At 34.6% G+C, this 14,274-nt stretch overlaps 1 long non-coding RNA gene across 1 annotated transcript in view; it reads right to left on the bottom strand.

The window, feature by feature from the left end:
* LOC105369896 (uncharacterized) overlaps window positions 1-14,274 on the bottom strand; it is a 361,170-nt gene that overhangs the window by 218,025 nt on the left and 128,871 nt on the right. Inside the window, exon 2 of the long non-coding RNA XR_001749251.2 lies at window positions 12,462-12,632. This is a non-coding gene — a long non-coding RNA (uncharacterized LOC105369896). The remainder of the gene's footprint in view (window positions 1-12,461; window positions 12,633-14,274) is intronic.

A 14,274-nucleotide genomic window follows, 5' to 3' on the forward strand; every position in this document is an offset into this window, starting at 1 on the left:
TTTAAATAATATTTTACAAAGATATCTATATGTTAAATGAAAATAGACAGAACTTGTCTGCGAGAAGCAAGAGTGGAAGGCTGGAAAAGCTACCTTCTCAGACTATCCCTTTTACCAACTTCTCTAGCCCCTGAAGTCTGACAAAAGGCCCCAGGGTCCTCTATGAGCCTGTGAACCACTGATCCACATAACATTTCAGACAAAAACTGGGGAAAGGTGATTTTTCTCTGTTACTTAAGCTGAAACATAATACTAAGCACACGCATAAGGGCATGAAAAAAGCATTTTAAAGCTGGAAAAGATCTTGATAATCAAAAAGTCCAATGTCTACCAATGTTATGAATGATGAAATATGCCCAGAGAATTGTACTGATTTGTCCAGGATCACACAGCTAATTAGGGGCAGAGTCAGAAATGAAATATCTGCCTCCTGACACAGTCTGGTGCTCTCCTTAACACACTACATGGACGTGCATAAATCATTTGGAGGTAGAATAATTTTCCAAAATGCTTTATCATGAGAGAAAAGGTATAAAATATATTAAGAATGTATCAGACCGTTCCTTCAATTTGAGGCATAAGTATAATATCTCCAGTGAACCAATACAGTAATCAGTGCATGTTTATGCATCCTGAAGTCTCCTTCTGGCGCCATGACATTTCTCTGCACAGAAAAGCACGGAGAGGGGATCTACATATCACCCCCTCACCTCTACTATAGTGGGGAAGCCACTACTCAGCTGAGTGCTTTTGTCATTAGTCCTTCTCACCATCCAGAACACATGCTGAACAACTGCCCCAGAGACGATCCTTCAGCATTTCCAAAGGTTTACATTGCACATAATCAAAGTACTTCAAATATCAAGGATCATAGCAATTTAATATTCTCAGCTTATTCCAGAATGTTCCAAGTACTTAGAAAATGATTCCGAAAATAATGACATTTTTCATGAGAACATTTTCCTTTCCACCTCTTATATTTTAATGTATTTAATACGAACATATGCATGTGCATTCTTGTCATCTTTTCTGCTCTTATTCCATTTTTTTTTTTCTGAAGAAAGAAGATCCCTTTGGAGAAATCAATAAAGATCTGCTACCTAAGTGAGGATAAAATTTTCTTCCTTAAAAGTATCACATTAACTCAAATTTCAGAAAGATGATACAGTGGCAATATTTTGATCATCCCTTCGGCTCTAAACAAATAGCAATGATAGATAAAATATAAAAAAGATATGCCTTGGCTCAAACACAAGATAAACTACTTTGTGACAAGAAATGAGAGAATGTGCAGAGATGGTACTGTGGAATGGTCAAGGTTCACATCCAGAAGCAAACAGTGGAAGCCAAGAGTTTGACTCCTGTCAGAATAAGAAAATTAAGAGTATTCTTTGTGGTATTTGGGAGCTGACTTCTGCCTTTCTCAGTGAAGCCAGAGTCCTCACCTAATAAAAAGAGCCTGAGAAAGACTGTTCCATTGCAGGGGCTGTGGCACATGGTGTGATCCAGGTCTACAGGGGCACATGGTGAGCGGCAGGCCTATAGGGCAGGAGGATATAGACAGCTTTGAGCTGAACCAACCCAAACCCTCACTGGGTAGCTTCATTTGGATTTTCCCTCATACCTTCAGGATAAAATATCACAATTAGAAGAATGGTTTTTAATTCAGCCCCTGAAAGGAAGCCTTTGCTAGAAAATGATGGATGAGGGTAGAAGAGCAAAGAGAAAGAGGAAAACAAGAAGATAAAAACAAAATAAAAAAAAAACACACCCCCCTCTACACGCTATAAAAAAGTCTGTTAAACTGAAGGCAGAAACACATATTTGCAAAGCTTTCAATAAAACTTTCAGTGAAACTTTATTTATAAAAACACACAGTGGGCTGGATTTGTTTCACAGGCCATAGTTTGCCAACCTCTGACTTGGAAGATTATTATGAAAAGTCCAACAAGTAAATGCTAAAGTCCTGAATGGAGCTTTGAGCATTGTGATCTTAATACCTTGTCCTTATTTACAAAATATCTGAAAATGTTTCATAAAAATATTAGTTAAAAAAGTTTTAAATGGATGATGAAGATTGCAGTGAAATAAGCTATCCCTCCTCAGGGGTTAGAAAACTGGGAGCACATATCCAGAGATAACATGACCAGCACCTGCTAATCCTAACTGAGTTTCATTTTAAATGGTCACACAATACAAGGAAGAAAAGCCTTGAGTCTGTTCATGGTGAGAACGTCAGACAGAGACTCCCACATAAAATGAAGACTCTCAAAGACATAGCCCTTGTATAAATTGTGACTCATTAACAACAATGACAAAAAATTTCCACAAAAAGGACCAGGGCGGAAATTGTTCTATCTGGACTTTAGCTCTTGGTGGAGGAGACATATCAAGTGTTCTTAAGTCAACTGTAATACTTTTTTTGTATTATGAATTCACACTACCTAAAGGATATAAAAAAATCTCGAGTAGAGAATTGGATTTAGGTTGCTGCTGCCAGGTTGGTAGTGCCCCTTACCCCATGTTCTTTGAAAAGAGAAAAATAAACCCTTTCTGAATAATGCATTTTAAATACAGGTCTTAAAGAAGGCCCACAAATAAAATTTTAATATGTATGAAATCACTAATTTTTTTTAATTACAAAGCATGCCCCCAAAAAATACCAAGAGGGAGAGTAAGCAGAAAAATAGCTTAAGAATGAGGCCTGCAGAGACTTCATACATTGAAATTAACAGAAAGATGATATGCTTAATATGATTGAATAAATAAAAGAAGAAATTAAAAGCATAGATAAGGAGTAATAATCAATAAAAAATAATCACACATATTTGAAAAAGAACCAAAGATATATAGATGGACAGATACAGATGTAGACATGTAGGTCTTTCTATCCATGCCTATCAACACGGCTAACTATGGAGCTGTTTCTACTTCAACTTATTGCGGATTACAAAAGCTATGGTTGAGAAGCTTTGCAGAGCTGCTAGTAGACATATGGAGCTGAAGAGGCAAAAACTGGCATTCAGAGATCTACAGGTATAGAGTCTCTCAGCTGGGAACCTTTAAAAGCTATGTCCTAAGATAAAGGTGAATTGGAAGTAGACCAGTCCTCCCCCAAAATCTCAAAGCCTAATTTCATGCCCTTTCAATCCATCATAAAGAAATTTTCATCCAAAAATTTTCCCACTCTGAATAAAGATAACATCCTGTGGATATCATGTTATTTCATATTTTTTGTTATAATGTTTCATACTTTTTAAAAAATGGTTAGACAAATAAAAAGCTAGTCTTGAGCAAAAACTAAAAGAAAATAAAGCAATACAAGAAAGAGATCCAGATACTGGCATACTCGAACACAGATTCTTAAATGACTACAATTTATATACTAAAAGAGTTAAATGATAAGATGGATAATTCTGGTGGAGAATTGGAAACTATCAAGATGAATCAAATGAAATTAGAAAATTAAAGTACAATACCTAAAATTAAGTACTTGGTGGATGAGTCTACTAGTAGTTCAATCACAGCTGAACAGAAAATTAGTAAAACTGGAAGATACCCAAAATAAAATACTGAGAGATAAGATGGAAAATACAGGAAAAAGTACTATAAACCGATAGGCTCTGGTGAATTCAAAATGACTAAATTAACTAGCCACAAAGAATCTCACAGCATATTACTGAACATAATAAGAGTAATTCACATAAATACTTATAACAGTATTTATTTATGTTGTAAAATTACAAAACTGAAAAAAAAATTTAAATTTTCCTTACTAGAACAAGTCTAAGGAAAAGAGAATAATATATGCTCAATTCAGGATAGAGGTTACCATTGAGAAGTAAGAGGGATGAGCTCATGGTGGGCCACACAGGGAGCTACAGCAACATTGTTAACCTCTATGGTGGGTACAGAGATCTCTGTTATATTATCTTTAATATAATAAAAGATAACTTAATTTTCTGTTACATATGAAATATATTATACTAAATAAATGCATCCAACAAAATTAACAATAGAAACAGAAGTTTACTCTAGATAAAACAACATAAAATTTAAAATAAAAATTATTGGTATATACAAACAAATTAATAAAAACAATGAAATTCAAGCTAGCAGAAATGAAATAAGAACATACAGCTATGTAAAATAATTAGAACTCTTGAAAATTTTAAAAAATACTGTAATTAAAATATTCAGAAAAATTCAGATTGGACACAAAGAGTTAACTGGTTAATTGAAACATAGTGAAAGGGCGCTCACTTGGAATCTGGGGCAGACAGAAAGGAATAAAACTATGAAAGAACAATTAAGAGTCACAGAGGATAGATTGAGAACCTTCAGTGTTTCTTATTTATGAAAATGGAGGCCGGGGGCGGTGGCTCATGCCTGTAATCCCAGCACTTTGGGAGTCCCAGGTGGGTGGATCACAAGGTCAGGAGTTTGAGACTAGCCTGGCCAACATGGTGAAACCCCATCTCTTCTAAAAAAAATACAAAAACTAGCCGGGTGTGGTGGCATGCACCTGTAATCCCAGCTACTTGGGAGGCTGAGACAGGAGAATTGCTTGAACCCGGGAGGTGGAGGTTGCAGTGAGCTGAGATCAGGACACTGCACTCCAGCCTGGGTGACACAGCAAGACTCCATCTAAAAAAAAAAAAGAAAAAGAAAAAGATAGTAAATGACAAAAATGAAATATATTGATTAAACTTTAAACTAGAAATAGTAAATAGTGAAGATGCTATTTACTGTGTTAATAGTAAATGAAACCCCATCTCTACTAAAAATACAAAAATTAGCCAGGTGTGGTGGCGGGTGCCTGTAATCCCAGCTGCTGGGGAGGCTGAGGCAGGAGAATAGCTTGAACCCAGGAGGCAGAGGTTGCAGTGAGCTGAGACCGTGCCACTGCACTCCAGCCCGGGTGACAAAAGTGAAAATCACCCCCCCTCCCAAAAAAAAAGCAAGAAAAATGAGAACATGAGGAATACGATCGTCACATGGGCTACATTGTTTCCTCTCCAAATATTGAAATCCTGACTCCCAGTATCTCAGAATTACACCTAATCCCCAAATAAGGCTAAAGGAATAAACTGAATTCACATGGGGTCATACTGGAATAGGCTGAGCTCCTAATCTAATATGACTGTTGCACATATAACATCATATTATACTACATAAATACATGCAATTATTATTTGTCAATTAAAAATAAAAGAAAAAATGTAAAAATATGACAAATATCCCTTTGAAAGGGAAAATTTGGACACACAAGGAGGACGTCATATGAACATGAATGCAGAGATCAGGATGATGCCTGTAAGTCCCAGAATGCCAAAGATGGCCAGCGAACCACAAGAAGCTAGGAAGGAGGCTTGAAATAGATTCCTCCTCACAACCCTCAGAAAGAACAAACCCTGCCAACACCTTAATATTGAACTTCTATCATCGAGAACTATGAGACCATGAATTTCTGTTGTTCAAGCTACCCAGTTTGTGGCACTTTGTTCCAGCATCCCTGGGAAACTCATACTATGATCCTGTTGGCTTGATTATATGAAACCATATTAAATTGTCATTTTAAAAAATAAAAAATGGTCAAATAACGGCAATTTCCTAAGATTTAAGTATGCATGGAGCTGCGTACTGACAATTTTTATGGCTTGTTATCTACAAAAGAAGTTTTGCAATTTGGAGAGAAAGAAATAAGCAAACTTTAAATCACACCACTGAAGTTCTTCTTACATAAAGGCATGTTGGAAATGCAAAAATCTCCCGTTATATCATTATACAGTTGGTTTTTTTTTTCCAGTATGTGGCCTGCTCAGCATCACAGAAATGCATCTATTACTCTGAATTGTTATATACAATAGACTTATTTCTGAGCCACTTTTGCCTTCACCAATCCCATACAAAAGAAAACAATTAAAAATTTTTTTTTCTCTCTGACCTCATGATTGATCATGAATCACTGATTTGCCTTCTCACCCACTGAATCTGAAATTCTCTCAGTTTTTTTAAATCTGAAAATGTCTTTATTTATGGATATCTAGTAGACTGTACTGTTTAACTATTTAGTACTTTGCAGTATACAAAATGAGATGACGGGGTACATTGAATGGTAGATAAATAATTAGCAAAGAATAAGGCCCTCAAATACAGCTGTCACTGAAGAATTTCTATAAGAGAGTAGGACTGGTAATACAAGATCAATTTTAACTTTCAAAGATAAAATGAAAAGAGTTTACATAGATCATATTGTTACAGCTCAAGACATGTTACTGCTCCCAGTAGGGATGCAATAACAATTTGTAATAACATTCAAGTTAACCAGCAGCAAATTAAACTGGGCTTTGAATAAATAAAAAAGAAATTGGGGCATCCATTCATTAATATTTATTATTCCCTAATAAAAATGAGAAACATCTAGGCCATTTTTCTAAGATTTCCTGAAATATTTCTAAAAAAAAGTGACATATTCCTTAAAATCTATTTCAAAGGCTAAAAAAACTTACTGTTAAAGGTATTTTTTTGGTCTCATCTAATTCCCTCCAGCTGCAATTTAAGCTTCTTTTTGTCAGTCTGATCTTTCTCATATTTGAATTGGCATTAACAAAGGATATTCTTACATGGATTTCCAAGTGACCGAATTGCCACTCAAGAAACCTTGGAAGCCTGAATGTGAAAGAACTCCAAAGTAACTCTGAAAATGGCAAGACTGTGTTTGTGTTATGAGATTATAAGGAAGAAGAGAGAACAAATGATCATAAACTTCTAGTAGGAGAATAAAAACATTTCTCATGAACTATGTATTAATTTTTTTTCTATTTTTAAAGTCTTTTTCTCCATAGTATCTTAGCAAAGGAAACCATTTAAAATTTTGCTTATGGACGAAATTTGAAAAATGTTCAGCCTCCAAATACAATCTACAAATGTTTTAAAGGTTCTTTGAACACAGAAGCTATTGAGATTCTACAACTTGCCAGAGAAAGAAATACCTTCTTGAGGTCTTCAACACTGTTTTTAAATTTTTGTATGGCTCATAATTTACTTCCGAAATGTAGGTGGAACCTGACCAAATACTGAAGTCTTCAGAGATTAAGAAATTCATTTTAAAGAACAAAAATTAAAATTCTTGATCATAAAACAGGCAAAATTAAGGTTTCTGGAAAGAAGGAGAAGTTTTGTTATCTTGAAGAATGATCCAGGAATTGGAATTTCTGAATAAGAAATGTTTCTGAAATTGTAGCCTATGGAGTAGTAAACATACTTTTCCTTAAGGAAGCCTCACCCAAAGTGGTGCTCTCATTACCTCATAAAAAACTAAGTCTCATATACAGAATTGCTATTTTGCATATTTATTATGTCCAAAATATTTATATATGCATTTTTAATCTGATCTTTTTAATAGCTCTGGGAAACAGGCATTTTCTTATTTATTTAAAGGATATGAAATTGTAAAATTACAGAAATTAAGTAACTTGACCATAGTCACAAAGACAATGAGTAAACAAACTAGGACTCAAATCCATATGAATTTGTCTCATTTCCATTCTATGAGAGCAAGCATACTGGGTTTGAATTAGATCTCTAGAAATAGAGACTCCTGTAATATTATATAAACATATTTAAATACAATTAGCCTGTGGGAAAGAATGTATTAGTCTTGTCCCTTGAAATCTTTATTATTAAGGGGCTCTGTTTTCAATGAATGAGAGTATTTTCATTGTCAATATTCCAAAACTTTAATTTAATTCTCATTATACTAATTTACATAGTAATTTTATTCTAGTTTCTACTTTGCTTAATTTGACAAGAAAATTCTAGTTGTAGTAAAATTTACATTAGAACTCATCTAGGAACACAGCTCATCATGTTGATAGCCCCAGGCATCAGCTGATATATTAAAGAATAGCTTTACACAAATATTAAATATAGAAACCTAGGATACAGATCATACTGAAAGATGGTAAGAGGCTTTGTTCATTTATTGATAGGAAAAATCAGTTGTGTTAATGAAACTAAATATTAGGAAGGAAAACAAAAGTGTTACTGAAATGGGAGAGTTCCCTGATCCCCCTTACAGGATGTGTAACAGAGGTGTGGCTTGCCTGTTGGTCGCTGCTGCTACTCAAACCCCTGATGGGAGGCAGACCACGCAGATGGTCAGGTGCAAGAGGTGGGGCGAGTGCTTTGGGCTCCAGCCCCGTGGCAGTATCTAGGGGTGGGTGCCTGCAGCCCCAGTGTTACAATGCTCTTTTAGCTCTTTTAACCTTGCTGTCCACAGACAGCTTAAGTGTTAACCAACTCAACAGACCCTCTTTTTGCAAGGGCAGAGGGCTAGTGTGACAACTTTGCAAGGGCAGCGGGCCAGTGTGACAACTTTCTGTATCCTGAACTCTTGCCCAGAGTCCTGGAAGAATTGGGTCACACATGGGCTTGAAGGATGAAATTGGGGTTTTATTGAGTGGTGGAGGTGGCTTTCAGCTAGATGTATGAGGAGCTGGAAAGGGGATAGAGTGGGAAGATGATCTTCCCCTGGAGTTTGGCCATCCAGTGGACTAAATCCTCTCTGAATGCCCTCAGCCAAACTCTTCTTGGTGTTCAGATGTTACTTCTCTTCTTTCTCTTTCTCGGCTGTGCCATTCTGCCATTCACCGGCTTGTCTCCTCATCTCTTTGTCTGCTTCTGGAGCCTGGAGTTTGGGGTTTATATGGGTACAGGATAGGAAACATGGTGGGCCAAAAGGCAACCTTTTGATGCAAAAACAGGAATGCCTGCCCCCATTTAGGGCCACAAGTCTCCAGGCTTGAGGGTGAGGCCTTTGCTGAGGAACTGCCCACTTCTACCCAGTATTTCCGTGTCTCCTGCCCATATCATTATAGTGCCTTGAATAAATAGCTCCTAAAAAAGTTATACCTACAAGCATATGTGTGTATGTGTGTGAGTTGTACGAGTATGTGTGTATCTGTGTAATGGTAATAGCTCTGGTAAGGGGATAGTACAATGAACACTCTAAATAATGTCAGTGAGAATATAAATTGTTTCAGTATCAATGAGAATGTAAGATGCTTCACTACATACACAAGGCATTTAATAACGTTTGTCAATAATTTAAATATATTTAAATCCTTTGTCCACACAATTTCTAGAAATATTTCAGAATATAAATAATAAAAAATATAGACAGAGCTTATGCACCAGATTGTTGATCTGAGTATTATTTTACATAGCAAAAAGTTGAAAACAATTTTATGTCCCACAATAGGACAATGATTAAAAATTATGCTAAATTTGCTTCATAGATAATTACATATCAAGTTTAAATGATATTTTCACAAATTGTTTGATACTATGATGAAGAGTAGACTATAAAGTTATCTACAGTAGGAGCTCAATTATATGTGCACATATGCTCATAGAGAAAATAGAAAATATATAGCAAAATATTAATAGAGGTCACCTGTATAAAGTGTATTTTCTTTTTGTTCTTGTCTACTTTTACTAAAAAAATTTATAATAATTACGTGTTATATTTTAATAAAATAAATCATCTTTAGAAATGAGCACTTGAGAGGTGGTACCCATAGAAGTTAGAGTGGAGTTCTCAACACCTCAGTAGGGTGATTCCAAGGAAACCAGCACCCCATATGAATGCACATCTCTGTTCAACTCCACATGCAATGGTATCACCTTGTGCCAGTCAGATAGTGTGTTTCAACACTTTTCACCTGCCTCTGTTTGGGGTAGTTCTATAGGAAATAAAGCTTTCGGTTGTGATTATTTTCTTTCTTATTTATCTCAGAACAATTTTAGATGCAAGTATTATAATCCACCAGGCATTTAGAGGTAATGGACTGGGCAGAATGGTTCTAAGAGAAACTTATTCTGAGTTTCCAGTTGAGATGACTATGTTACATACATTACCTTTTTAACATTATCTTTACAATATCCCCTTTTGCAGATGTGGAAGCTGAAGCTCTTGAAGACTGTAAGATTTGCCCATGTAAGCATGGTGAATGAAGAGCAAAATTAGAAGTCTGTACTCTTTCTACTGCAGGTAGTGGGTTACTGCCTCGTAAGAAATTACCATAGCTTTTAAGCTGCATTTGTACTTAGAGTAATAAACATAATCAACCTGGTATATAACTTTTGGGATAAACTGAATTTCAAAGATTTACCTGAAGGGTAAAATTCAGCCAAACTATGCTTTCCTCAAACAATCCTTGTGTTCCAAACAGGGAACATAGAATGCGTTGAGTTCGAAGGCATAGTGGAAAGAATTCTGAACTAATTCATATGTTGAATAGAGGCAGACCTAATCACTTTGTATATTTTTGGTTTCATATGTGCAAATAAAATATATTTAGACTGAAACCAGTAATTAAGCAAATGGATTACATTTTACATATATAAATCCAGACAGGCCTTAATATAAAAATATATAAAGATACCATTTGTATTTATTTATCCTCACAAATTTATAATAAAAATACAAATAAATTCTAAACTATTACATTGAAATAAGAGAAATGATACACAAGATGGACCACAAAGAGGAAGGTTATATTACATCTATTAGAAATATGCTTTGGAGAAATCTATTTTTCTATACACTGTGGGGTTCATTCCAGGTAGCAATTCAAAGTTTTATTTATCATTTTAGAACAATCACAAAAAAAGTCCCTGCTTGCTAATTTTTTTTTGTTTTTGAAAAAAGTCATCTTGTGTTTTTTTTGTTTTTTGTTTTTGTACCAAATAAATGTATATCCAGCACATTAAGGAGCCACTAGCTCTAAATTCACTATTTTAATCAATGCTGTGCAGCAGCACTGGGCTTAGTCCAAAGAAACTTACTGTTATAGTAGAAAACCTCCTCCAACTCTTCCAGAATGTTATTTTAAAGGTCTCAGGAATTAAAATTAAAACAAATGCTTTAAGCCTTTTCAAAACTCTGTCCAAGAAAATAAAAGTCAAGTGCCTGCTCTCCAGAGCATTATGAAGAAATGCATTTGGCTGAGTTTGAAAATGTCTCTTTAATGTGAGCAATTAGAAAAACTAGGATTGAACAATGCTAAGTAACTTCCTTGAAAGATTAAAAAACAAAGTTAGGATTATTTAATCAGCAATATTCATTCTAAAAGAGAAAATGACCTTACACATTTAAAAATATATACATTACTTTTAAAATATAATTTTGGACATGTAGCATTATGAATAAGAAAAATTAAGTCTCCATTTCTGCTCTAATACTCTTTTAATAGATCAAAACAAAACAAAACATGACCTATCTCAACCAACAATGACTTTCATTAACTTCTTTTCAAGAGCTCTTAGGAAAGGAAAGCTATAAAGAGGTTGCTTTCTATTGATAGAATTTTGGACATTTATGTAAGTACAAATGTTGGTTTTGACATTAAAATATTAATGTAATTAAAATCTAAAATGCTCAATGTATATAAAAAATAAAACTTTTAAGGTTCTGAGGCATTTTTCCCATCTTATACTTTAACAGACTTTTTTTTTAAAAAAATTATATTTCAAATATGTTTATTTGAGAACTAACATTAAAGTTGAGAATAATTGTAATTAACCTTTTCCACCAAAATATTTGTGGAAATGGTTTGGGACCAGTAAGTCCAAATAATTGTCCTCATCTAACCCACTACTTTAGAAATGAGTAAACTGAAGACTTTTTAGTGACAAACACAAGAATGTAATGTCAGAGTCTTGCCCTCCACCTAGTATTCTTTCCTTTCTCATCTCCCGCATTGTCTCCATCTACACAATAAATACTAAGAAAAATGCTAGTTACATTGACTCAATTTTTGGAAGTAAATGCTTTAAAACTTCAAAAGCCCAAGCTTTTGCTTTGTTTCTTTAACATTGTCCCCCACCCCTTGACCAAAAGGAAGGAGCTGAAAAACAGATTTCATAATGCATGTTCATTACAGAGACAGTCTATAAACCCAAATTGAGTAAAATATGCATTATTTCATTTCAGGATTTGGGTTTAATGCAGAACTCAGAAAGGGACCAACTTTCTTTTACTCTTTATTCATTCTTATGTCATACTAAAATAATAGATGTTAAAATGGTAACATTTTCAGAAGATGCTCCTCAGTGGAGTAGATTAAATTGATATCTCAAGACTAGTAAAATGTACAATTGTTCTTGTCCATATAGGAAACTATAACATCTTCATAGTATTTTTAAGGAACTCTAGTTAAGATATAAATCAAGGTGACCATCTCAGTGAAAGACCTATGAATTACTTGGTGGTTGTGACTTTTCCATTATAATTAATAAGACTTCTATTACGCTTAGACTAGTCAGTGGTTGTCATGCCGATGCAAATATTAGCTTATCTCCATGGCTATATCCACCTATTTGATCAAGTAACAATGGCTTATCTAACTCCAGATATAAAGCTTTCAGAAAGAGAAACATGATATATTACTCACTTGTTTTTCTGTGGAACTCTCAAAGAGTAAATGGAAAATTAGCTTTGTGTTTTTGTTTGAAGAAGACTATGTAGAGGAGAGTTATTTGAGCTCTTAGCAAAGGAAGCTCCATTTGCCTCTTTTCTTTTCCTCTGTCTAGTTTTTCCATGAGATGAGGATAATTGTAGGAAGCTGGAAATAATAACACAAAACTTCATTGATTTCTGATTTTTAAAAGTGTTTTAAGCATTAGAACTTTTTCTCAAAGCAAATCTTAAGCAGATTTCCAATATATAACAAAGGTAAGTGTCAAGCTTTTAGCTATGAAGTGGATTTAGAGAGCTGAGAGTAGGGAAATTCAACCCCTCACCTCTCTCCTGCATTATCAACTTGACAGAATCCCAGGGCTCTGCAGAACACAGCTTTGAAAGTATGGTTGTGAATGACACAAAAGAGTAGCAGAGTAAGTGAAAGAGTTAGTCTACAAAGTGGCATTACTTTGCTAGGTTAATAAAGATTATTTATGATAGGAAAACATGTCTGCACAAGGTCCGATGCATAGGGACAGAAATTTCAGCTCAAATAGTTAAATACTTTTTACTAAACCTAGAACTGAAAATGAATTAACAAGAAACATTTTTAATGAAGTACATATGTATCATGGTTTGATTAAGTTTTAAAAGAAAGAATAATGAGAATAGAAATTACTACTTACTTTAAAAGTTGCTCAATAATTTTCTTCCAGTAATCAAAGAGTGCACATCTTTTATAAAACTATGTGCTTGAAAATTTGGACATTTGTATGTCTGGAAGTAATTGGATGGAGAAAAACAAGGGTGAAGGTCTTAATATTTGCAAGTAATTTGTGTCAGTAGACTAATGAAAAGCTAAGCTATAAAACTAAAAATATATGTGTTGATGAATAAACAATGTTAGTATTCATTTCAAACAATTGATGAAATTATGAATTTCTTCACCAATAAGAAGAGAAAGTCTTCTCCAGATTAGAAATGAGTTATAGTAATGGGAACTGACATAGTAGATTTAACCAGAATATTGGTATATTAGCCCATATAGTTGGATCTTAAGAGGACCTTTGTTAATTTCCTCCAAAAAAACGGTGGAAAAGAAGCTGTGCCCTTCAGTATCCTCTGGTTTTCTAAGTTCTTCTAAATTTACTTTGGTGAACAGGGCATGTGACCATTTAGCTAGAGACTGCCTTCCTGTCCTTCCTTTTAGTCAGTGACTATATTTAGGCCAGTGGGGCATGGCAACAATATGTAAAACTCCCAGATTGTTTTCTTAAAGATAAGACTGCTGGCCTAATACATTTTTGTTTCTCCTACTCTTGGCCAAGAGTAGGAGATTTGCAGCTGTAGAAGATCTTGGACCCAAAGATGGAAGTCACATGTTGAAGATGATATATTCATTGTGTCAATCAGGGTCCTTGGGGCCCACACACTTATCACAAGAGAGGAATATTTTATCTAATTAAAGATCCTGTATTTTGAGGTTTCTTTGTGATAAATCTTTAGCCTAAGTCTCAGCTAATGAAAAACTTGGTACCAAAGTGGTGTACTGCCATAGAAAATATGTGGCATTTTCTTAGTAGTTGAGTTGCAGACTATGAGGACATAAACATTGCAGGCTGGAAAGCTAATGACCTTTCTTAGGTCACAGCAAAATATTTACTAAAACTGTTTTCTGTAATGAAACGAAGATATATCTCTGAATTCTCTTGCTCTAAGGAAGATTATTAGGTAAAGGCAAAATATTTGTCTATGTTATCTGCCCCTTGATGCTTTTAGCCATATACAATGAGAGAGAATAGCTT

The sequence above is a fragment of the Homo sapiens genome, chromosome 12, assembly GCF_000001405.40.
Source record: "Homo sapiens chromosome 12, GRCh38.p14 Primary Assembly".
In the NCBI taxonomy this organism is placed as follows: Eukaryota; Metazoa; Chordata; class Mammalia; order Primates; family Hominidae; genus Homo; species Homo sapiens.